Source organism: Homo sapiens, chromosome 16 (genome assembly GCF_000001405.40).
Source record: "Homo sapiens chromosome 16, GRCh38.p14 Primary Assembly".
In the NCBI taxonomy this organism is placed as follows: Eukaryota; Metazoa; Chordata; class Mammalia; order Primates; family Hominidae; genus Homo; species Homo sapiens.
In genome coordinates this window covers 34,047,291-34,072,150 of record NC_000016.10, presented here as the reverse complement: position 1 = coordinate 34,072,150, position 24,860 = coordinate 34,047,291, and the positions used below count along the sequence as shown (strand labels likewise).

General features: G+C 40.2%; 9 annotated features.

Annotated features, from left to right (window-relative positions):
• Positions 1,941-2,465: an enhancer, noted in NCBI's record as "OCT4-NANOG hESC enhancer chr16:33872153-33872677 (GRCh37/hg19 assembly coordinates)". NCBI's record gives its function as "activates a minimal SCP1, AML or CMV promoter by ChIP-STARR-seq in naive H9 embryonic stem cells {active_cell/tissue: H9 hESC(naive)}" and the evidence as "EXISTENCE:reporter gene assay evidence [ECO:0000049][PMID:30033119]".
• Positions 4,191-4,707: an enhancer, noted in NCBI's record as "OCT4-NANOG-H3K27ac-H3K4me1 hESC enhancer chr16:33869911-33870427 (GRCh37/hg19 assembly coordinates)". NCBI's record gives its function as "activates a minimal SCP1, AML or CMV promoter by ChIP-STARR-seq in naive H9 embryonic stem cells {active_cell/tissue: H9 hESC(naive)}" and the evidence as "EXISTENCE:reporter gene assay evidence [ECO:0000049][PMID:30033119]".
• Positions 4,708-5,225: an enhancer, noted in NCBI's record as "OCT4-NANOG-H3K27ac-H3K4me1 hESC enhancer chr16:33869393-33869910 (GRCh37/hg19 assembly coordinates)". NCBI's record gives its function as "activates a minimal SCP1, AML or CMV promoter by ChIP-STARR-seq in naive H9 embryonic stem cells {active_cell/tissue: H9 hESC(naive)}" and the evidence as "EXISTENCE:reporter gene assay evidence [ECO:0000049][PMID:30033119]".
• Positions 5,704-6,460: an enhancer, noted in NCBI's record as "OCT4-NANOG hESC enhancer chr16:33868158-33868914 (GRCh37/hg19 assembly coordinates)". NCBI's record gives its function as "activates a minimal SCP1, AML or CMV promoter by ChIP-STARR-seq in naive and primed H9 embryonic stem cells {active_cell/tissue: H9 hESC(naive and primed)}" and the evidence as "EXISTENCE:reporter gene assay evidence [ECO:0000049][PMID:30033119]".
• Positions 6,461-7,218: an enhancer, noted in NCBI's record as "OCT4-NANOG-H3K27ac hESC enhancer chr16:33867400-33868157 (GRCh37/hg19 assembly coordinates)". NCBI's record gives its function as "activates a minimal SCP1, AML or CMV promoter by ChIP-STARR-seq in primed H9 embryonic stem cells {active_cell/tissue: H9 hESC(primed)}" and the evidence as "EXISTENCE:reporter gene assay evidence [ECO:0000049][PMID:30033119]".
• Positions 7,219-7,975: an enhancer, noted in NCBI's record as "OCT4-NANOG-H3K27ac hESC enhancer chr16:33866643-33867399 (GRCh37/hg19 assembly coordinates)". NCBI's record gives its function as "activates a minimal SCP1, AML or CMV promoter by ChIP-STARR-seq in naive and primed H9 embryonic stem cells {active_cell/tissue: H9 hESC(naive and primed)}" and the evidence as "EXISTENCE:reporter gene assay evidence [ECO:0000049][PMID:30033119]".
• Positions 7,976-8,734: an enhancer, noted in NCBI's record as "OCT4-NANOG hESC enhancer chr16:33865884-33866642 (GRCh37/hg19 assembly coordinates)". NCBI's record gives its function as "activates a minimal SCP1, AML or CMV promoter by ChIP-STARR-seq in primed H9 embryonic stem cells {active_cell/tissue: H9 hESC(primed)}" and the evidence as "EXISTENCE:reporter gene assay evidence [ECO:0000049][PMID:30033119]".
• Positions 8,792-9,690: an enhancer, noted in NCBI's record as "OCT4-NANOG hESC enhancer chr16:33864928-33865826 (GRCh37/hg19 assembly coordinates)". NCBI's record gives its function as "activates a minimal SCP1, AML or CMV promoter by ChIP-STARR-seq in primed H9 embryonic stem cells {active_cell/tissue: H9 hESC(primed)}" and the evidence as "EXISTENCE:reporter gene assay evidence [ECO:0000049][PMID:30033119]".
• Positions 20,527-20,677: a silencer, noted in NCBI's record as "fragment chr16:33853941-33854091 (GRCh37/hg19 assembly coordinates)". NCBI's record gives its function as "represses an EF-1alpha promoter that drives an FKBP-Casp9 reporter gene in an ReSE screen in phorbol 12-myristate 13-acetate-treated (for megakaryocytic differentiation) K562 erythroleukemia cells {active_cell/tissue: K562(+PMA)}" and the evidence as "EXISTENCE:reporter gene assay evidence [ECO:0000049][PMID:32094911]".

Below are 24,860 nucleotides of genomic sequence, written 5' to 3'. Positions count from 1 at the left end.
CCACTACATTCCACTCCTCTCCACTCCACTCCACTTCACTCCACTCCACTTCACTCCAGTCCACTCCATTCCATTCCATTCCATTCCAATGCATTCCATTCCAATGCATTCCATTCCATTCCTTTATTTCAAGAGTATCTCACTCTGTCACCCAGCCTGGAGCACAGTGGCATAATCTCAGCTCCCATTCCATTCCATTCCATTCCATGCCATTCGATTCCATTCGATTCCATTTGATTTGATTCCATTCGATTCCAATCCATTTGATTCCATTCTATGCTATTCGATTCGATTCCATTCCATTTCATTCCATTCCACTCCACTCCACTCCACTCCATTCCATTCCATTTCACTCCATTGCATACCATTCCTTTCTTTCGACAGGATATCACTGTGTCACCCAGGCTGGAGTACACTGGCACCATCTCAGCTCAGACTACATGTCAACTTTCCATTGCATTGCATTCTATTCCATGACATTCAATTGCATTCCATTTCATTCCATTCCATTCCATTCCATTCCATTCCATTCCATTCCATTCCATTCAATTCCATTCCGTTCCATTCCATTTAATTCTATTCCATTCCATTCCATTCCACTCTGTTCCACTCCACTCCACTACATTTCATTACACCGATTCCATTCAAATCCATTCCACTCCTCTCCAATCTACTGCACTCCAATCCACTCCTTTCCATTCCAACCCATTCCATTCTGCTCCATTCCACTGCACTCCAATCCACCCCACTCCACTCCACTTCATTCTATTCCATTCCATCCCATTCCATTCCACTGCTTTGCACTTCACTCCAATCCACTCCAGTCCACTCCATTCCATTCCATTCCTTTCCACTGCTTTCCATTCCATTCCCTTCTTTCGAGAGTATCTCAGTCTGTCACCCAGACTGCAGCGCAGTGGCAGAATCTCAGCTCCCATTCCATTCGATTCTATTCGATGCCATTGGATTCCATTCTAGTCGATTCCATTCGAGGATTCCATTCGATTCCATTCGATGATGATTCCATTCGATTCCTTTCGATGATGATTCCATTTTATTCCATTCAATGATGATTCCATTCGAGTCCATTCGGTGATGATTCCATTTGTGTCCTTTTGATGATGACTCCATTCGAGTACATTCGATGATGACTCCATTTGAGTCCATTCAATGATGATTCCATTCGATTCCATGCGATGATGACTCTATTCGTTTTCCTTCAATGATAATTCCATTCGAGTTCATTCGATGATGACTCCATTCAAGTCCATTCCATGATGACTCCATTTGAGTCCATTCGATGATGATTCCATTCGAGTCCATTTGATGATGATTCCATTTGAGTCCATTCCATGATGATTCCTTTTGGGTCCATTCGATGATGACTCCATTCGATTCCATTCGATGATTATTCCATTCGAGTTCATTGGATGACGATTCCATTCGAGCCATTTGATGATGATTCTATTCGAGCCCATTCGATGATGATTCCATTCGAGTCCATTGGATGATGATTCCACTCGATTCCATTCAATGATGACTCCATTCGAGTCCATTTGATGATGATTCCATTCGAGTCCATTCGATGATGATTCCATTCGAGTCCATTCGATGATTCCATTCGATTCCATTCGATGATGATTCCATTCGAGTCCATTGGATGACGATTCCATCTGAGTCCATTCGATGATTATTCTATTCAGGTCCATTCGATGATGATTCCATTCGAGTCCATTGGATGATGATTCCACTCGATTCCATTCAATGATGACTCCATTCGAGTCCATTTGATGATGATTCCATTCGAGTCCATTCGATGATGATTCCATTCGAGTCCATTGGATGACGATTCCATCCGAGTCCATTCGATGATTATTCTATTCAGGTCCATTCGATGATGATTCCATTCGAGTCCATTGGATGATGATTCCACTCGATTCCATTCGATGATGATTCCATTCAAGTCCATTCGATGATGATTCCATTCATGTCCATTCCATGATGATTCCATTCGAGTCCGTTCAATGATTGCAGTGTATTCCAATCAATGATTCCATTCGATTCCATTCAATAATTACATTCGATTCCATTCAATTCCATTCAATGATTCCATTCGATTCCTTTTGATGATGATTCCATTCAATTCCATTTGAAGATTCCATTCGATTCCATTTGATAATTCCATTTGATTCCATTCGATGATGATTCCATTCCATTCCATTCCATTCGATGATTCCATTCGATTCCATTCGATGATCCATTCGATTCCATTCGATGATGGTTCCATTCGATTGCATTCGATAATGATTCCATTCGATTAAATTTGATGATTTCATTCGATTCCATTCGATGATTCCATTCGAGTCCATTCAATGTTGATTCCATTCGAGTTCATTCGATGATGACTCCATTCAAGTCCATTCCACGATGACTCCATTTGAGTCCATTCGATGATGATTCCATTCGAGTCCATTTGATGATGATTCCATTCGAGTCCATTCCATGATGACTCCATTCGAGTCCATTTGATGATGACTCCATTCGAGTCCATTCGAAGATGATTCCATCCGAGTCCATTTGACGATGATTCCATTCGAGTCCATTCGATGATGATTCCATTCGAGTCTATTCGATGATGGTTCCATTCGATTGCATTCGATAATGATTCCATTCGATTAAATTTGATGATTCCATTTGATTCCATTCGATGATTCCATTCGAGTCCATTCAATGTTGTTTCCATTAGATTCCATTCGATGATGACTCCATTCAAGTCCATTCGATGATGGCTCCATTCGATTGCATTTGATAATCATTCTGTTCGATTAAATTTGATGATTCCATTCGATTCCATTCGATGATTACATTCGAGACCATTTGATGTTGATTCCATTCGATTCCATTCGATGATGACTCCATTAGAGTCCATTTGATAAGGATTCCATTCGAGTCCATTCAATGATGATTCCATTCGAGTCCATTTGATGATGATTCCTTTCATGTCCATTCGATGATGATTCCATTAGAGTCCATTCAATGATTGCTTTCAATTCCATTCAATGATTCCATTCGATTCCATTCAATAATTCCATTCGATTCCATTTGATGATGATTCCATTCGATTCCATTTGATGATTCCATTCGATGATGATTCCATTCAATTCCATTTGACGATTCCATTTGATTCCATTTGATGATTCCATTCGATTCCATTCGATGATGATTCCATTCGATGATTCCATTCGATGATTCCATTCGATTCCCTTTGATGATGATTCCATTCGACTGCATTTGATAATGATTCCCTTTGATTAAATTCGATGATTCCATTCGATTCCTTTCGATGGTTCCATTGGAGTCCATTCGATGTTGATTCTATTCGATTCCATTAGATGATGACTCCATTCGAGTCCATTTGATGATGATTCCATTCATGTCCATTCGTTGATGAATCCATTCGAGTCCATCAATGATTGCCTTCGATTCCATTCAATGATTCCATTCAATTTCATTCTATAATTCCATTCGATTCCATTCAATCATGATTCCATTCGATTCCCTTCAATGATTCCATTCGGTTCCACTTGATGATTCTGTTCAATTCCATTCAATGATGATTCCATGTGATTGCATTTGATAATGATTCCATTCAATTCCATTCGCTGATTCCTTTTGATTCCATTCGATGATTCCATTCGATTCCATTTGATGATTGTTCCATTAGATTCCATTCGATGATTCCATTCGATTCCATTCGATGATTCCTTTCGATTCCATTTGATGATGATTCCAATCGATTACATTTTATAATGATTCCATTCGATTCCATTCAATGATGATTCCATTCAATTCCATTTGATGATGATTCCATTCAATTCCATACAAAGACGATTCCATTTGATTCCATTTGATGACGATTCCATTGGAGTCCATTCAATGATGAATCCATTCGAGTCCATTCAACGATGATTCCATTCAATTCTATTCGATGACGATTCCTTTCGACTCCATTCTAGCACGATTCTATTCGAGTCCATTCAATGATGATTCCATTTGAGTCCATGTGATCACAATTCAATTCGAGTCCATTCGATGATTATTCCATTCGAATCCATTCGATGATGATTCCATTTGAGTCCATTTGATGACACTTCCATTCGAGTTCATTCGATGATGATTTCTTTGGTGTGCATTTGATGATGATTCCATTCGAGTCCATTTGATGATGCTTCCATTTGAGTCTATTCGAGGATGATTCCATTCGTGTCCATTTCATTCCATTCGAGTCCATTCCAATCCATTCGAGTCCATTCCATTCGATTCCATTCCATTCCAGTCCATTCCAGTCCATTCTATTCCATTCCATTCCACTACTTTCCATAACATCCGATTCCATTCCACTCCATTCCACTCCACTCCACTCCACTCCACTCCACTCAGGTTCACTCCATTCCGTTCCATTCCATTCCACTCCATTCCATTCCATTACTTTCTTTCGAGAGTTTCTCACTCTGTCACCCAGGCTGGAGTGCAGTGGCACAATCTCAGCTCCCATTCCATTCCTTTCCATTCCATGCAATTCCATTTGATTTGATTCCATTCTGTTCGATTTGATTCGATTCATTTCAATTCCATTCCATTCCATTCCATTCCATTCCATTCCATTCCATTCCATTCCATTCCACTCCACTCCACTCCACTCCACTCCATTCCATTCCATTCCATTTCACTCCATTGCATTCCATTCCTTTCTTTCGACAGGATATCACTGTGTCACCCAGGCTGGAGTGCAGTGGCACAATCTCAGCTCACATTACATGTCAACTTTCCATTGCATTGCATTCTATTCCATTGCATTGCATTGCATTGCATTCAATTCCATTCCTTTCCATTCCATTCCATTCCATTCCATTCCACTGTGTTCCTTTCCACTCCACTCCACTCCACTACATCCCATTACATCCGATTCCATGCCACTCCATTCCACTCCTCTCCACTCCACTGCAGTCCACTACACTCCTTTCCATTCCATCTCATTAAATTCCACTCCATTCCACTGCACTGCACTCCACCCCACTCCACTCCACTTCATTTCATTTCATTCCATCCCATTCCATTCCTCTCTATTGCACTCCACTACACTTCACTCCACTCCACTCCACTCCAGTCCACTCCATTCCATTTCATTCCATTCAACTGAATTCAATTTCATTCCTTTCTTTCGAGTGTATCTCACTCTGTCACCCAGCCTGGAACTCAGTGACACAGTCTCAGCTCCCATTCAATTCCATTCCATTTGATTCCATGCGATTCCATTCGATTCAATTCCATTCTATGATTCCATTCAATTTCATTTGATGACTCCCTTCGATTCCATTCAATGATTCCATTCGATTCCATTTGATGATGATTCCATTCGATTCCATTAGATGACTCCATTCCATTCCATTCGATGATGATTCCTTTTGATTCCATTCAATGATGATTCCATTCGATTCCGTTCAATGATGACTCCATTCAACTCCGTTCGATGATGATTCCATTCTATTCCATTCGATGATGATTCCATTCAACTCCATTTGATGATTCCATTCAATTCCATTTGATGATGATTCCATTCGGTTCCATTTGAAGATGATTCCATTTGAGTCCATTCGGTGATGATTCCATTCGAGTCCATTCGATGATGATTCCATTCGAGTCCATTCGATGATGATTCTATTCGAGTCCGTTCGATGATGATTCCATTCAAGTCCCTTCCATTCCATTCGAGTCCATTCCATTCGAGTCCATTCCATTCCATTCCATTTAATCCAGTTCCATTCCACAGGATATCACTGTGTCACCCACGCTGAAGTTCAGTGGCACAATCTCAGCTCACATTACATGTCAACTTTCCATTGCATTGCATTCTATTCCATTGCATTCCATTGCATTCCTTTCCATTCCATTCCATTCCACTCCATTCAATTCCATTCTATTCCACTCCATTCCACTCCACTCAACTCCACTCCACTATATTCCATTACATCCGATTCCATTCCACTCCATTCCACTCCTCTCCACTCCACTGCATTCCACTCCACTCCGTTCCACTCCATCCCATTGCATTCCGCTCCATTCCACTGCACTCCACTCCACCCCATGCCACTCCGCTTCATTCCTTCCCATTCCATTCCTGTCCATTCCACTCCACCCCACTTCACTCCACTCCAGTCCACTCCATTCCATTCCATTCCACTGCATTCCATTCCATTCCTTTCTTTCGAGATTATATGACTCTGTCACCCAGCCTGGAGTGCAGTGGCACAATCTCAGCTCACATTTCATTTCACCATTCCATTCCATTCCATTTCATTCCACTCCTCTCCACTCCACTCCACTCCAATTCATTCCACTCCACTCCCCTCCAATCCATTCCACTCTTTTCCATTCCATCCCACTCCATTCCACTCCTTTCCACTCCACTCCACTCCATTCCACTCCACTCCATTACATTCCCTTCTAAATTCATTCCATTCCATCCCTTTTTTTTCACAGGATCTCACTCTGTCTCCCAGGCTGGTGTGCAGTGGCACAATCTCAGCTCACATTTCCTTTCACCATTCCATTCCATTCCACTGCACTCCACTCCACTCCACTCAATCCCACTCCACTCCACTCCAATCCATTCCATTTCATTCCATTCGAATCCCTTCAATTCCACTCCTTTCTTTCGACAGGATTTCCCTCTTTCACACAGGTTGTAGCACAGTGGCACAATCTCAGCACACATTTCTTTTCTCCATTCCATTCCATTCCACTCCACTCCACTCCATTCCATTCCACTCTATTCCACTATGTCCCATTCCATTCCATTCCATTTCACTCCATTGCATTCCATTCCTTTCTTTCGACAGGATATCACTATGTCTCCCAGGCTGGAGTGCAGTCGCACAATCTCATCTCATATTACATGTCAACTTTCGTTTGCATTGCATTCTATTCTATTGCATTCCATTGCATTCCATTCTATTCCGTTCCATTCCATTTAATTCAATTCCATTCCATTCCTCTCTGCTCCACTCCACTCCACTACATTCCATTACATCCGATTCCATTCCACACCATTCCCCTCCTCTGCACTCCACTGACCTCCACTCCACTCCATTTCACTCTGTCCCATTCCTTTCCGCTCCTTTCCACTGCACTCCAGTCCACCCCACTCCACTCCACTTCATTCCATTCCATTCCATCCCAGTCCATTCCTCTCCATTCCACTCCACTCCACTCCAGTCCACTCCATTTCATTCCATTCCATTCCATTCCATTCCACTGCATTCCATTCCATTCCTTTCTTTCGAGAGTATCTCACTCTGTCACCCAGCCTGGAGCACAGTGGCACAATCTCAGCTCACATTTCATTTCACCATTCCATTCCATTCCATTCCACTCCACTCCACTCCATTCCAGTCCACTCCACTCCTTTCCATTCCATCCCATTCCATTCCACTTCATTCCACTCCACTCTGCTCCACTCCATTCCTCTCCACTCCACTCCTTTCCATTCCATCCCATTCCATTCCACTCCATTCCTCTCGACTCCACTCCATTCCATTCCATTCCATTCCTTTCTTTGGACAGGATCTCACTCTGTCATCCAGGCTCGTGTGCAGTGGCACAATCTCAGCTCACATTTCCTTTCACCATTCCATTCCATTCCACTGCACTCCACTCCACTCCACTCAATCCCACTCCACTCAACTCCAATCCATTCCATTCCATTTCATTCCAATCCCTTCCATTCCACTCCTTTCTTTGACAGGATCTCCCTCTGTCACACAGGTTGTAGTGCAGTGGCACAACCTCAGCACACATTTCTTTTCTCAATTCCATTCCATTCCATTCCATTCCATTCCATTGCATTCCATTCCATTCCATTCCATTCCATTCCATTCCATTCCATTCCATTCCATTCCGCTCCACTCCAGTCTATTCCACTCCACTCCATTCCACTCCATTCCATTCCACTCCACTCCAATCCACTCCACTTCATTCCACTCCACTCTACTCCATTCCTCTCCATTCCATTCCATTCCACTCCATTCCATTCCACTCCACTCCACTGCATTCCATTCCACTCCATTCCACTATGCTCCATTCCATTCCACTCCACTCCACTCCACTGCATTCCATTCCACTCCATTCCACTCCACTCCATTCCACTCCCCTCCATTCCACTCCACTCCACTCCAGTCCACTCCACTCCACTTCACTCCATTCCATTCCATTCCACTCCATTCCATTCCATTTCTTTTTTTCCACAGGATCACACTCTGTCACAAAGGCTGGAGTGCAGTGGCACAATCTCAGCTCACATTTCTTTTCACCATTCCACTACATTCCATTCCATCCCCTTCCATTCCAGTCTGTTTCACTCCACTCCACTCCACTCCATTCCATTCCACTCCATCCCATTCCATTCTACTCCATTCTACTCCACTCCACTCCACTCCATTCCATTCCATTCCATTTCACTCCATTGCATTCCATTCCTTTCTTTCAACAGGATATCACTGTGTCACTGAGGCTGGAGTGCAGTGGCACATTCTCAGCTCACATTACATGTCAACTTTCCATTGCATTACATTCTATTCCATTGCGTTCCATTGCATTCCATTCCATTCCATTCCATTCCTTTACATTCAATTCCACTCCTTTCCACTCCACTCCACTCCACTCCAGTATATTCCATTACATCCTATTCCATTCCACTCCATTCCACTCCTCTCCACTCCACTGAACTCCACTCCACCCCACTCCACTCCACTTCATTCCATCCCATTCCATCCCTCTCCATTCCACTCCACTCCACTTCACCCCACTCCACTTCACTCCAGTCCATTCCAGTCCATTCCATTCCATTCCACTGCATTCCATTCCATTTCTTTCTTTCGAGAATATCTCACTCTGTCACCCAGCTTGTAGCACAGTGGCACAACCTCAGCTCACATTTCATTTCACCATTCCATTCCATTCCATTCCATTCCATTCCATTCCATTCCAATCCACTCCACTCCACTCCAATCCATTCCACTCCACTCCACTCCATTCCAGTCTACTCCACTCCTTTCCATTCCATCCCATTCCATTCCACTCCTTTCCGCTCCACTCCACTCCATCCCTTTCCATTACACTCCATTCCATTCCATTCCTTTCTTTTGACAGGAACTCACTCTGTCACCCAGGCTGGTGTTCAGTGGCACAATCTCAGCTCACATTTCATTTCACCATTCCATTCCATTCCACTCCACTCCACTCCACTCAATTCCACTCCACTCCACTCCAATCCATTCCATTCCAATCCCTTCCATTCCACTCCTTTCTTTCGACAGGATCTCCCTCTGTCACACAGGCTATAGCGCAGTGGCAGAATCTCAGCACACATTTCTTTTCTCCATTTAATTCCATTCCATTCCATTCCTTTCCACTCCACTCCACTACAGTCCACTCTACTCCATTCCACTCCACTCCACTCCACCCCATTCCATTCCACTCCACTCCACTAAACTCCATTCCACTCCACTCCACTCCACTCCACCCTATTCCTCTCCATTCCACTATATCCCATTCCATTCCATTCCATTCCATTTCACTCCATTGCATTTCTTTCCTTTCTTTCAACAGGATATCACTGTGTCACCCAGGCTGGAGTGCAGTGGCCCAATCTCAGCTCACATTACATGTCAAATTTCCTTTGCATTGCATTCTATTCCATTGCATTCCATTGCATTCCATTGCATTCCATTCCATTCCGTTCCATGCAATTCCATTCCATTCCACTCTGTTCCACTCCACTGCACTCCACTACATTCCATTACATCCAATTCCATTCCACTCCATTCCCCTCCTCTGCACTCCACTGACCTCCATTCCACTCCATTCCACTCCGTCCCATTCCTTTCCGCTCCTTTCCACTACACTCCAGTCCACCCCACTCCACTCCACTTCATTCCATTCCATCACATTCCATTCATCTCCATTCCACTCCACTCCACTTCACTCCAATCCCTTCACTCGAGTCCACTCCATTCCATTCCATTCCATTCCACTGCATTCCATTCCATTTTTTTTTTGTTTCGAGAATATCTCACTCTGTCACCCAGCCTTGAACTTAACAGTTAAGATTCAAGTAGTGAAAAATGATAGTATTTAGGAAGATCTAGAAAATTTAATCTGTATCTGTGTTGTGTGAGAAGTATTAGAATAATGCTTGAATTCCTGGTTGGGCAAAGATTTCTACTGAGACTGGAAACATAATAGAAGTGAGCGAAAAAGAATTTAAATTGTAGATACTTGAGTTTTATACCTAGGAGTTCGAGAAATACATTTTGTTAATATCAAAGCTGTTCTCACAAGAGTGTACAAAATTCCCTAATTGTGTCTATGTGGAGAAGACATAGACAAACAGAGAATAGCAAAACAGAAATATCAAAAAAGCACAAATAAACTTTACCTGTATTTTTATGTAAAAGTCAATTAGAGTAGGAAAACATGAAATTTGTGTTTTATCAAAATTTTTCTTTCTCATAATATAGTTGATTATATTACTGGAAAAAAATTGAAGCATTGATATGTTCACAAAAAATAGTAAAATATAATATCAAAACCATGGGAACGCAGCGAGCAGACAAAATATACCTAAACACCGAAACTGATTTTGCCCTATGGACATGTACCAAAATGAATGAGTGCAGATTCCTACTGTCATACATCACATAGGACAGTAAAGAAAAACATAGTTTTTCCCAAGATAAGGCATCACACAGGAGCTCCTCCCTAAAGCTAGGACCAAAATTTCTATCCTCAGTATAAAGAAGAATCAGAGGTAAATTAATCCCATTTCACATTCCCTGGAAATGGCAAATAAAAATGTCTTGAGATTGAACAGATTTGAAGAAACCCAATCATTAATGATTTACAGCAATTAATTTAAAAATAGTTTAGATATGCAGTCCGAACATACGTCCAAACACCTTTAGGCCAAGAATTAACATAATGAGGTCCCAGAATGGTGGTGCCTTTAGTAGACTCATAAAAAAATTCAAATTCTCTCTGGAAAGTTTTCTTCTTACTAATACACAAAAGTGCACAAAAATAATTTTCAGAGAAAAATAAATATTTGTCATTCAAAGGCATCTAAGTACGCAAGGAAATGATATTCCACCATTTGAAAGGAAAGCAGAAAAAGAGTACAAACAGATCCACAAAGGTTCATTAGTAGAAATATCACTGTTAGATTATAAAGCACATTTGCTTTAAAAAATTTTAAAATAAAGAGAATATATTTTAGGAGACTAAAAAATTGATGTAGCAAATTTGAAAAGTAGTTTGTATAAAAATATAGTATTTTAAATTAAAAACTCAAAAATGAACTCATCAGATTAGACATGGCCATGGTGAGAGTTCATAAATATTTCAGAATGCATTACAGAAAATTTAAATAAAGGCACAATGTAGACAGAATCATGAAGAGACATGGAACATACAGTGAGAAAGTGTAGCATGTGTTTAGTGAGTGTTCTCATAGAAGAAGGGAACTGGGAAGGGACAATATGTGATGGTATTTTGGCTGAAAGTTCTCTAGACTTTTGTAAGACACTAATCTGCATATTCAAAAATTCCATGCATGCTAAGCAAGCTACAATGGAGATAAACCTACACCTACCTATCTCCTAGAGAAATAGTAAACAATCAGGAAGGGAAAAGTATCTCAATTAGCACTAGAAAAATCAAATTACTTTTAATCAAATTGAAATCTGAAAGAATGAAAGGTAAAATAAACAATATTATTTGTTTGTTAAGAATAATAATGCCATTCTGAAATTCAAAACCAAGAAAAATATTCATCAACCTATGGCTAAATAACATATTTAGAGACAAAAAACAAAACGCCTCCAGCAGAATTCCACTAAAGAAACTAAAAAGAAACTCTGAAAACATGCTTCAGAAAAGTTAAAGTTCTGAAATCAAAGTATGAACACAGAGCAAAATATATTGTAAACATACAGACAGATCTAAAGAAAAAATTAGGTGTTGAAACAAAAAGATATTTAAAATTAGATAAGCACTGCAATATGTATGTTAGGAAGCAAATTATTAGGGCTGAAGTATTCAAAGACCCCTTAATTGTCTGACAACAGCAGAAAGGTGAGTATGACGTTGCAACTCTTTATTTATTTATTTATTTTAAGAAGGAGTCTCACTCACTCTTTCGCCCAGGCTGGAGTGCAGTGGCGCCATCTCGGCTCACTGCAACCTCTGCCTTCCAGGTTCAAGCAATTCTCCTGCCTCAGCCTCCTGAGTAGCGGGGATTACAGCCACGTGCCACAATGCCTGGCTAATTTCTGTATTTTTAGTAGAGACGGGGTTTCACCATGTTGGTCAGGCTAGTCTCCAACCCCTGACCTCGTGATCCACACGCCTCGGCCTCCCGAAGTGTTGAGATTACAGGCATGAGCCATGCGGGCGACCGACTTTGGAATTTTAATAAATTCACTGGACATTATGCATTTCTCTGTTGTTATTTTTGAAAACAATAAAAATAAAAGTCATAATTTAAAAACAAGAAGACAGAAACTGATAGGAGAAATGAGACATTATATATATATATATATATATATGCAACAAATTAATAAAACGAATTAAGTATAAATGATCAAAGATTAACTTAAACCTAAGTAGACAATGTTTTTGTTAAAATACAAAGATTGGCAAAATTAAAAAAAAATCTCTATCATAATTACAAGAGAGGCAACTAATATATAAATTTACAGAAACTTTGAAGTTCAAACAATACAGATACTGCGTATATATGATATACATACAAACATACTACATGAATATTTTTTAAAACTTGCTATATAGACAAAATAGAATGTAAGTTAGAAACATTTATTAAAATAAGTTAGTCTAACCAGTGTGACAAAAGTTTTAAGTTATTAAGAAGATGTGATGACTTAAATGTGCATTAGCCTGATACATATATACATATATGCACACACACCACACACTCTCTCACACACACGCACACACGTATTTAGAGAGAGAGTCAAATTATATAAAGCAAAAATATCAGAAAGTAAGTAGAAATGAATAAGCTCTCAAATCATTATAGACATTTCAAACACATCTTTCAGTAATACATAAAAGAAAAAATTAAAAGAGTAAGTTTTAAAAAAAGCTAGTGGATTTTAAAAAGGGCAAATGTTATATAAGAAACATGAATATTATAATTCATGTTATTTTCATGTTCATACAGAATACTTACAAAAATTAACATTTTCTAGACCATACCACAAATTCAAACAATTTTCACGGAAATAACGTGACACAGAATATATTTCTTAAACAGCAATGAAGGTAGATAACAATACAAAAAAGAAAGCTAGAAACGTAGGTCTAATAATATTGGTTCGAAGCTATTTTAATGAATATTGAAATATTTTAAAGTCAATACAAATGAACCAAACACTTTTGTAAGGCCACTAAGATGCATGTGTAATGTGTAATGCCTCCTTTTATAAGGAGTAAATCTGTAACATCACCTGGGCTATTTGACAACTGCAAAGTGAATGTGAGAAGGAGAGAAACAGTGAGAGAGAGAGAGAGATAAAACCAGTAAAATAAACATAAAGAATGAAATAGCCAGGCTCCATGGTTCACACCTGTAATCCCAGCACTTTGGGAGGCCGAGTCAGGTGGATCACCTGAGGTCAGGAGTTCGACAACAGCCTGGTCCAACATGGTGAAACCCACTCTCTACTAAATATGCAAAAATTAGCCTGGCATGGTGGTATGCATCTGTAATCCCAGCTACTCGGGAGGCTGAGGTGGGAGAATTGCTTGAACGTGGGGGTTGGAGGTTGCAGTGAGTTGAGATCACGCCACTGCACTCTAGCTTGGGTGACAGAGCAAGACTCCGCCTCAAAAAAAAAAAAAAAAAAAAGGAGGAAGCAGTACATGAAAAAGCAGAATTAAAGCAACTGAGTATATATTTAAAAATGCAAAAGCTCACTTTTTCAGAAAAATATTAAAATATTAAATCTAACAAATATCTAGGTAGAGTGATGAAGAAAAATACAGAAAACGCACAAAAAACCAATTACCTGGAATGCGAAGGTTACAAAACGTCAGCAGTTGTAGATTTTAAATAAGCAATGACTTTGAGTTCAACCATGATGGGGTATATTGAAAAGAATCTCTCAGAAAAAAAGAAAAAGAAAACTGTTATAAAGCTATGTACAAAATGTTAAGCACTATTAACGTCTTCCAATTCTACCAGTTATGGAGTTATTGGTCTTGGACTAACTCTCCTGAAAAGAAAACAAAACAAAACAAAACAAAACAAAAAACTAAAAACCTGGATAAAATAGCCTACTGTGGGCACTGGCAATGCAACCAAGCAGGTAGGACATGGGTGCTACATTCTCTTTGTCAGAACACAAAGCATTCATACATTCTTCTCACCCTCACTCTCACCTTTTAATCTTAGATCTACTATTAAATGTATTCAACATTACTATCAATCCTTTGGTCAAAATTTCTTTACTCACATCTTGCTTGATGCACTTGGATAGACTGTTCAAGAAAGTGTGAGTAGCGAATTCCTCAAACTCTTGCATATTTAAAATTACATTTTTGAACTTTGATACTTGAAGTGTAGCTTGGGTAACGGGTGGGCCTTAAGCCAATTTTGGCATACAAGGGGTTGAGTTTATTAGGCATCATCAACTCTGAAAATCGTGGGGATTCAGGCTTAATTTGAACACTATTCTAAATACTTGAAAGATATTACATAATTCCTTAATAAACTCCTGTGTCTATCAATGGTTCACATTTGCTCAGTATCCATGATTAAACATCTATAAAATCAAGGCACTCTTATTTAGTGGAGACTTGCTGGCTATTCTATGAGAGGAGGTATTGTTATTGTAATCTCATCCTCTCATAAAAGTGTATCATATTACTCATAACCAGCCCTTCATATTCTATTCCTATTGTGGTATTTTAAAATAAGATATCTTTGAAACACTTCAATTCAAAGAGGGAATCTGAATAGTTTTTAAAATGTCAATGAAATTCCATTTCTTCATGCTTGAACAAATAAAAATTGACTAAAGTGCTTCTCTTCAAACTTTCTGGAACATTTTTTATCTAAATTCTAAGAACAATCACAATAGGTTTTAACCACAAATGTGAGAATGTTCTAAATGTTAGGGTGGAAAAATTTTTTAAATAATTTTATAGTATTTTTTTCATCATAGTGACAGTGTGCTAAATTTTTTTAAGTCAAATATTACTGTGGACATTTAAGTCAAGATTCTAAGAAGCTGTTCTAAAGTCCAAAATTTAGTTTCATATACAGTGATGTTATATACATATTTGCATATAAAATTAATATATGTGAGCCATGTTTCAAATAGTTGAGAGATTAGTATATCAAAGATTCTTGATTATATAAAATGCCAATTACTTATAGGCACACATGCCTTACATAATTACAAAGGCAGTTGTGGTTGATTCTACTCTTGCTACTGGCATTTATATGGACATCATATTATGGTCTGAAGAATATTTAGGCAAATTTATCCCTCATATGATCAGAAGAACAATGCAAGATAGTTTATATCTGAAAGAAAAAAATCTTTATATGGTTCTGAAAGCCTAAATCATTAACAACTTGGATAATAATTAGCATAAAAATACACAAACATGCCCTCTTCCTAGCATTAAGTACACAGTGATAAGAGAATCAAAGCACTTGGCTATGTGCATGTTTATATTTCAAGATGCAGAGCACTCCATTCCTCTTCTCTGCCCTTTCTAGATGGCACAATTCCTCATGAATCTAGGTGCAGTCATAGGGTGGATTAGAGTGACCTGCCATTTGTTTGCAACTGATCTCTATTTTGGAAGTAATTAAAGTAAAAATATATTTTTAAAAGATAATTTCAAATTTCAGTGCAAACTAGCATGGTTTCACCCCTTTTCTTTGTAACATTTTTTCTAAGGTTGGAAAAGTAAGGTAGGCTTTAGTACGATTTTTAATAATGAGTTTTCAAAGTGAGACGCAAAATGGTGGCGCCAACACATTTCAGGTCTGCTACATTTTGAATACACTTATTGGAGAAAAGAACTTCTCCTCATTTTTCTCTTACAGGAAAGGAAATAACATGTACAGTTGACCCTTAAGCAACATGGAGGTTGGGGTGCTGGCCCCACTGCACAGTAGAAAATTCACTATAACTTTGACACCCCCAAAACTTAACTACTAATAGCCTACTGTAAGCCTTACAAATAACACAAACACTCAATTAACCCATATTTAATATGTTATATGTCTTATATACTGTATTCTTAACAAACATGCCAGAGAAAAGAAAAAGAAAATCAGAAGGAAAATATATTTACTAGTTATTAAATGGAAGTAGATGATAAAACAGGTCTTCATCCTCATCCTTTTCATGGGCAGGGTGTGGAGAAGGATGTAGAATTGTTGGTTTTGCTAAGTGGACCTGCACAGTTCAAACCCCTGTGGTGCAAAGGCCATTTGTATAGCCATTGAATAGCAATTTGTTTTTAGAAATTAACCTCACTAAAATACTCTTAGAAGGATGCCAAGAAAAAAATGAATAAGTATTTTTGGTTCATCTATTTCATCATTTCATTTCATTTCCTCATTTCATCATTTCATTTCATTTCATCTTTTCATTTCATCATTTCATTTCATCTCATCATTTCATCTCATCACTTCATTTCATCATTCCGTTACATCATTTCATCTCAACATTTCATTTCATCATTTCACTTCATCTCATCATTTCACTTCCTCTCATCATTTCATTTCATCTTTTCATCTCGTCATTTCCTTTCATCAATTCATCATTTCATTTCATTTATTTCATCATTTCATCATCTCGTTTCATCATTTCATTTGACTTCATTTCATCATTTTATATCATTTCATCATTTCATCTTTTCATTTAATCATTTCATCATTTCACCTCATCATTTCATCTCATCGTTTGCATTTCATCATTTCATCATTTCATTTCATCATTTCACTTCATCTCATCTTTTCATTATTTCATCTCATGATTTCATTTCATCTCATGATTTCATTTCATCTCATTTCATTTCATCTTTTAATCTCATCATTCATTTCATCATTTCATTTCATTTCATCTTTTATCTCGTCATTTCATTTGATCATTTCATTTCATCTCCATCATTTCATCATTTCATTTCATTTCATTATTTCATCATTTAATCATTTCACTTCATTTCATCATTTGATTTCATTTCATCATTTCATATCATTTTTTCATTTTATCATTTGAACTTTTCATTTCATTTTATCATTTCATCATTTCATTTCATCATTTTACTTCATCATTTCATTTCATCATTTCATTTCATTTCCTCATTTCATTTCACCATTTCATCATTTCATCATTTCATTTCATCATTCCATTTCATCATTTCATTTCATCTCATCATTTCATCCTTTCATTTCCTTATTTCATTTCACTTCATCTCATCATTTCATTTCATCATTTCACTTCATCTCATCATTTCATCATTTCATCTCATGATTTCATTTCATCTCATCATTTCACCTCATGACTTCATTTCATCTCATCAATTCAACTTTTCATCTCCTCATTTCATTATTTCATTTCATTTCATCTTTTCATCTCGTCATTCATTTCATTTCATCAATTCATCATTTCATTTCCTCATTTCATCATTTCATCATTTCATTATTTCACTTCATCATTTCACATCATTTCTTCATTTTACCATTTCATTTCATCATTTCACTTCATTTCATCATTTCATTTCATTTCACCATTTCATCATTTCATTTCTTCATTTCATCAGTCGTTTCATCATTTCATCATTTCATTTCATCATTTCATTTCATTTCGTCTTTTCATAATTTCATTACATTTCAGTGATACATGTATTTAAGTGCTAATGCGATGCCCAGGAGACACCCTATTTCCCTTTGTAAAACACCTCCTTCAACAAAAAGCAACCTCTCATGGCTGGCTAAGTCTACAGGGATACCAGCCTCTCTTCAACCACCCAATTTCATTTAGAACCTCAAACAGCACCTCAGTTTCATAAAAACCTAAAACATAAACACAACACTTGGTTGTAAGTGAGGCAACAGTTTCTTGTCTCTTTCTCTGCTCAAGGCTTAAGGCCATGTCTCCCCAAATACTTTCAGTGGAAGAAAAGATCCCCTGAACAAATAAATTTGAGAACTGTTGTTGCAGTCTTCTCAGAACCTTCAAAACACCAATCCTCATCCGCAGGGATCTTCAGGAGGGAGATGGCTGATGCAGCACAACTTTCTTTCACAGGAGCATCTTGCAGAATACAGTATGAGATACAGAAAGGCTGCACTGAGCCTTTTTAAGGGCCCAGGCCTTGGTGGGGGTGGGGTAGGAGCTCTCCAGATAGCATCTAATGAGTGGAAACATTCAGGTTGCTTTTTTTTATCCTTACTGGCAAAACTGTGTGTGCACCATGAATGAAGCTCGTCTCCCTTATACATATCAAAACTAAACCCTAATTATTTGGCTAAATTGGGACTGAACACCTCCAGGAGCCACGTGGAAGAAAGCCCCACCACACATTAAAGTAGCTTACCTCATCATATTTGAGGAAAGCAAAACGCTTATGACCAGTATGCTGCTAATACAAGTCTACAGATAATGCTGTAGGAAAAATTATTTTTCCCAATCATAGCTGGCATAGTCCGCATTTTGCATTACGCTTCCCCCCTTTTCTTAAATTTGAAACACAGGTCTTTTCCTCTTTTTTTTTTTAAATTTTAATTTAATTATACAAGACAGAGTCTCAATATGTTGCCCAGGCTGGTCTTGAACTCCTGAGCTCAAGCGATACATCCGTCTCTGCCTCCCAGAGTGCTGAGATTACAGGCCTGAGACACTGTGCCCGGCCTTAAACACAAATCTTAATTCATTCTTACAATTATCCTGAGGTTAGAAAAATGAAAGGGGAAGAAACATGGCAAGCAGGTAGGCTGACTTCGGCTTCATTATTTGAAGGACAGTTTGCTCGGTTAAAACACACTACTGCCCACAAAGGCCAAGAAAACAGAAAAATACAGACTTACATAAATAGGTTTTATATGTGACAGCAGTTTGAATGGAGAGTTTTTCAATGCAGATGACAAACAGCTGTGCTTGGGAATAAATGACAACGAATTTTTTTATCTCAATAGCTGTCCTGAGAGCATGTCTCTACATCTCTACCTGCATTCTGGAATCAGGGAGAAAGCCAAAACGGATGACAAGACACTAGATCAGCCGTGTCCAACCCTTTGACTAAAAGGACTTTTCCGCCTATCTGTGGTGGTGGGTATCATGAAAATTATGCATAAACCTTTTTTTTAAGCTCATCAGCTGTTGTTAGCATTAGGGAACTTTTTGTGTGGCCCAGGAGCATTCTTCTTCCAATGTGGCCCTGAGAAGCCAAAAGACTGGACACCTGTGCACTAGATCAAAAGGCTACTCCTTCTGGAAGCAATTGTAAAGAATTTCTGACATTATCTTGACATGAAAACCAATGGATAGTGGGACAGAATGCAAAATCTTCAAGAATATTTTTGTTTTTTTTGTTTTTTTTGTTTTTTTTTTGAGTCAAGTTCTTGCTCAGTGGCCCAGGCTGGAGTACACTGGTGAGATCACAGCTCAGTGCAGGCTCAAGTGCTCCGCCCACCTCAGCCACAGTCGTAGCTGGGACTACAGATGCGCACAACCACCTCTGGATAATATTTTATTTTTCATAGAGACGTGGTCTCATTATGTTGTCCAGGTTGGTCTCAAACTCCTTGACTCAAGGGATCCAGGACAGGGTAACAGGTGTGAGCCACCACACCTGGCCATGTGCATGAACTTTTAAGACAAACACAAGGCCCCATGAAAGTTAAGGTTTTCTCAACTAATTTCCAGGGGATCTTTTGGTGCAAGGATGAGAAGCCCTTAAAAGTACACAGACAACTCCAAAGATTCAAGAGAGTTCATTCAGGCTGAGCCAGCCCACTGGGCAGACTGACCTTCAAAAAAGGCCCACCCATGACATACACCAGATGGCTCTCCAAGAATCTCTTCAGTCCTCAGGGTCCCTAAGGTACTGGACAGAGCTAGGAAAGCAAACCCATCTGCTTCTTCCTGCAGGAAACCCCTTGAGGTTAAGACCCCCACAATCAGACGAGGATGGAGTGGCTCAGCCTCAGTCAACAGGCCAGACTCAAAGTCGTATAATGTCTTAACCAAGGGTGCGGGCCTCCAGGTCTGACTCCCAACTCAGTTCTCCTTTAATAACCACACTTTGTTAATTCTCCTTAACAGCGGTTCCTGGCAAGTCAGTTCTCACTCAGGCCTTCAGTTTCCTCACCTACAAGATGAGAGGGCTGGACCAGATGGAAATTCTGGGGGTAAGGGGATGTCCACGCGCAGCCAAACCCCTCCACAGGACCCTGGAGCCTCCATCCCAGTTCCCACCATGCACCCGCCCCACAAATCCTGCCCAAGGTGAGGGCTGGTCCCGGGTCCTCCAGCTGCCGCATCAGCGAGTGCAGGAGGGAGGGAAAGTCTCCAAGGGTGTGACGCGGGCTCAAGGATGCAACTCGGCCAGGAGTGAACTGGGGCCCTGAGGGTGGTGTCTGGGCCGCTCCTAGAGCCCAGCCCAGGTCCCCAAACCCCTTATCTCCAGGGTCTGTATCTCCTGCTGGGTGAGGTCGTTGGACACAGTGCACTTGGTGCACAGCCTGTGCAGGCTGCCAATGGAGATGCCGATGAGCTTTTGGAGCTGCCCCCACTGCTGCAGCGCCCAGCTGGCCGCGGCCCCTGCGCCACCCTCCGAGGCCTTCGTATCACCCCCGCCACTGCCCTACTTCTTCTCTCCCATCGCTCCGCGCACAGCGCCGCTCTATGCAGGCCTCAGCGGCCAAGGTAGGGAGCCCGGGGCTCGGGCGCCTAGGCAAGGAAGCCCCGAGCCGGGAGAGCTGGACCAGGAGTGCCCCTCAGCTCTACCATTGCCAGGACGCCAGTAGAGCTGGCAGCCGAGTCTGCCCTTCCCGCCCTCAGAGCCGCGGCGGCTGGGGCAAAAAGCCGCGGTGGAATAAAGCCCCGTCAGTGGGCACAAAAAGCAGTGGCGGTGGGGGCAAAAAGCCGGGCCGGCGGAGGCAAAAAGCCAGCCGGCGGGGGCAAAAAGCCGCATCGGCGGGGGCAAAAAGCCGGCCGGCGGGGGCAAAAAGCCGCCAAGGCGTGGGAAAAAAGATGCAAAAAGCCGCGGCGGCGGGGGCAAAGAGCCGCAAAAAGCTGCAGCAGCGAGGGCAAAAAGCCGCGATGGCAAAAAGCCGTAGCGGCGAGGGCAAAAAGCCGCAAAAAGCAGCGGCAGCGGGGGCAAAAAGACGCAAAAAGCCGGGCCAGCGGGGGAAAAAGCCGCAAAAAGCCGCGGCGGCGGGGAAGAAGCCGCGGCGGCGGGGGCAAAAAGCAACGGTGGCAAAAAGCCGCGGCGGCAAAATCCGTGGCGGCGGGGGCAAAAAGCCGCGGCGGCGGGGGAAAAAAGATGCAAAAACTGTGGCGGCGGGGGCAAAAAGCCTCAAAAAGCCGCGGCAGCGAGAGCAAAAAGCCGTGGCTTAGGGGACAAAAAGCCGCGATATCAAAAAGCAGCAAAGGCTGGGGCAAAAAGCCGCGGCGGCAAAAAGCCACGGTGGCAAAAAGCCACAGCAGCGGGGGGCAAAAAGATGCAAAAAGCCCCGGCAGCGGGGGAAAAATCAGCGGGAGCAGGGGCAAAAAACCACAAAAAGCCGCGGCAGAGGGGGGAAAAAGCCGCGGAGGCGGCGGCAAAAAGCCGCGGAGTCGCGGGGGAAAAGCCGCGGAGGCGGCGGCAAAAAGCCGCGGAGTCGCGGGCAAAAAGCCGCGGCGGCGGAAGCAAAAAGCCGCGGCAGCGGGGGCAAAATAGTGGAAATGGGGTAGAAGGCCCGCACAGCTTGGCATTGCTGTAGTGTGATGTGATAGGAAAAGTGCAGCCAAAGACAAAAAAAAGATGTAAGTAGGCTTGACTCAGTGCAGCTAAGAACCCAGATGTTATCTGGAGGGTATTAACTAATAAGCAGTTTAAATCAGAATGGTGCGTTCTGATTTGTTTTTTGTATGTTCACATTTGGCAGGCATAGATACTGTTTGAAGAGAGGAAAGTCAGTAGATAGAGGTAACAAACTTAAATATGTGCCAAGTCTAGAAACAAGAGACTAGGGGGATAAGGACCTTTCAAAATAAAATGCAAGATTTGAAAACTGATTGGCTGGGGGATGACGAAAAGGCAGGTCTTTAAGATCAATCCCTGTTTTGCTTTAAGTTGTCAGGTGGTGGTTTTATCACATACTGTAGAATATGTCATTTCAGTTTTGAACATCTTGAGTTAAATTGTCCTAACATATCTTATGAATTTGATTTTCTTCCCTGGGAAGCTAATATTTCAAAAACTTAAAGAGTATAGATTTCCAACTTGTATCCAATTTATAAAATTATCCCTAGGCTGCTGGTTTCAGGAGGAGGCTCATGAATATTCTATTTGCAGAGAATGTATCAGGAGTTAACAACAGCTTCAATATTTGTGGATGACCAGTTAACTAAGCCACCTCTTAGTGTCTTCAGATGGGAAATCTTAACTGAAGATATTCAATAATGAACCAACAGTGACTAAAAAATTCAATATTTAAGTATATTTCATTGTAATTAATTTGAATTTAAGTAGCCATGTACAGCTAGTATTTACTACATTAAACAATGCAAATAAGAGGAAAAAATTAATAACCATCTCTAATACCACATGCCAAAATCCTCATCAATTTATTCTAGCTAAAGGAGTTTATCAGAAGCAGCAATTGAAAGCACCAACTAAACCAGCTGGGGTCAATTCACTGTCATTCTCTCAGAACCATCTCTTCTCTGAACAAAAGAAGTAGAAGAGTTAATTGTGAATCTGCATTTTCCTTGCCTATTTTAAGGTTTTGATGTTGACACTAATTTGTGAAATCCCTCCTGTGGTGTGATATTTCATTTTCCTTGCTTTTTGTTAGTACAAGACTGCTTCAGCTCTTAATTTAAAATTATGTTTCTCCCTCCTAGGTTGAGTGAACTTAGAATGCATTCTCTGAGATATCCAAGTTTTTGTTAATATGAATTTGGGGGAAAAAGCATACTTAATTCGCTAAGACTTCTTATTCTAGGCTTGACCCTGTGTTCGACATCTTTTGAATTCATAGTTGCATAGGCTGCTCTCTGACACTGGTTAGTGATCTGGAAGCTATATTAACGTTAGGGGAGGTGGTGTATGAGCATTAGAGGTATCCTTGCAAGGAAAGACTTGTCTTATCTCAATACATCTTTTTTTTTTGCACACAAGATAGTCAATGTTTGAGTCTTCTAAAATCTTCCTATTTCCAAGTTGCAGAGTACCATTGATTCCTAAACAAAGATCTAATTTTTGATGCAGAGACGTGGCAAGGTAGTGAATCACCTTTATAATTTAACAATCTTCAAGATAAAATTATCTCTCTGACATTTAGATTTTGCCCAGTTATTAAGATATTTGGCTGTTTCGTTAAGAATGGAAGACTCTAGTCTCTTGAGCAGAGACTATAAAGGCCTCAGATGATCATTTTTAATTTTATGCTCTTTTCTTTAACATCTTCAACACAGTTGGAAGCAGCCAATATTCCCCAGAGTTGTTGTGTTTTTGAAAACAAATGCATGGTTCAGTGGTAGAAAACTGGGCTGATCCAAGCTGTTTTCAGTAAACACTTCATTTTGGGTGACCTAATTCATATTAAATAATCTCTAGATCCTGTCTTCAAAACTAACTAGCTAAGATAACCTACCCTAGATTTTCCCCTTTTAGGGTCTATGCAGTCACTTTTGTGAAAATGATTGCAAAGAAAAAATAGAGATGTAGATGGGGAAAATGTTTTGACTAATTTAAGCATAGTGGTATTTCATATGAGAATTTATGTTACACACATTTGAAAATTACAATGGAGTCTCCTGGCTGACCTTTTAAAAAAAATAGCATTTAGGCTAAAAAGGGAAGTGCTACCTCTCCTAAAATCAGAAAGATGTTACAGTAATTCTCCATTCTCTAGAATTATCAGGAAACACATTTGTGATGATTTACTTTTGCTCTTGGGAGTGTGAGCCTGTGTAGTCGTGGAACCATCAATTAGAACGATGGCTTTCTGATCCCAAAGTCATTCGTTCTGAAAACAATATTTTTCATAAATTTGAAAGTGAGAAGTTTTGATCTTGCCATTCCCAAGTAACTCTCTTAATAAGAGGCATCAGCATGCTTCAGTGACAGCTGTCACCTTCCAGTGCTGAGAGTCATCTTTGAGTTCTCCATTTCACTCCCTACCCTCCAATTTAGCTGCAGTTCTCTTGGCCAGTCCTACGAAATACATCCACGGCCTAACGACTTCTCACCACTAATACCACTCATACTCACAACATTTTCACCTAAGTCACTACCTTTTTTCTCTGGATTACAATAGCCTCCCAATTTATTTGCTCACATAACCTATTTATTCTACAGAGTGCACCAGATACACCCCTTTGAAATGCAAACACAATCATGTTATTCTCTGGTGAAATTATCTCATATATTCCTATCGCATTTAAAATTAATTCAGAATAATCCCATGATTATCAAAACCCTACATGCTCTTCCACAACATGGTTTACTTCCAAGATATCTCTTCAACTTTTTTTTCACTGTAC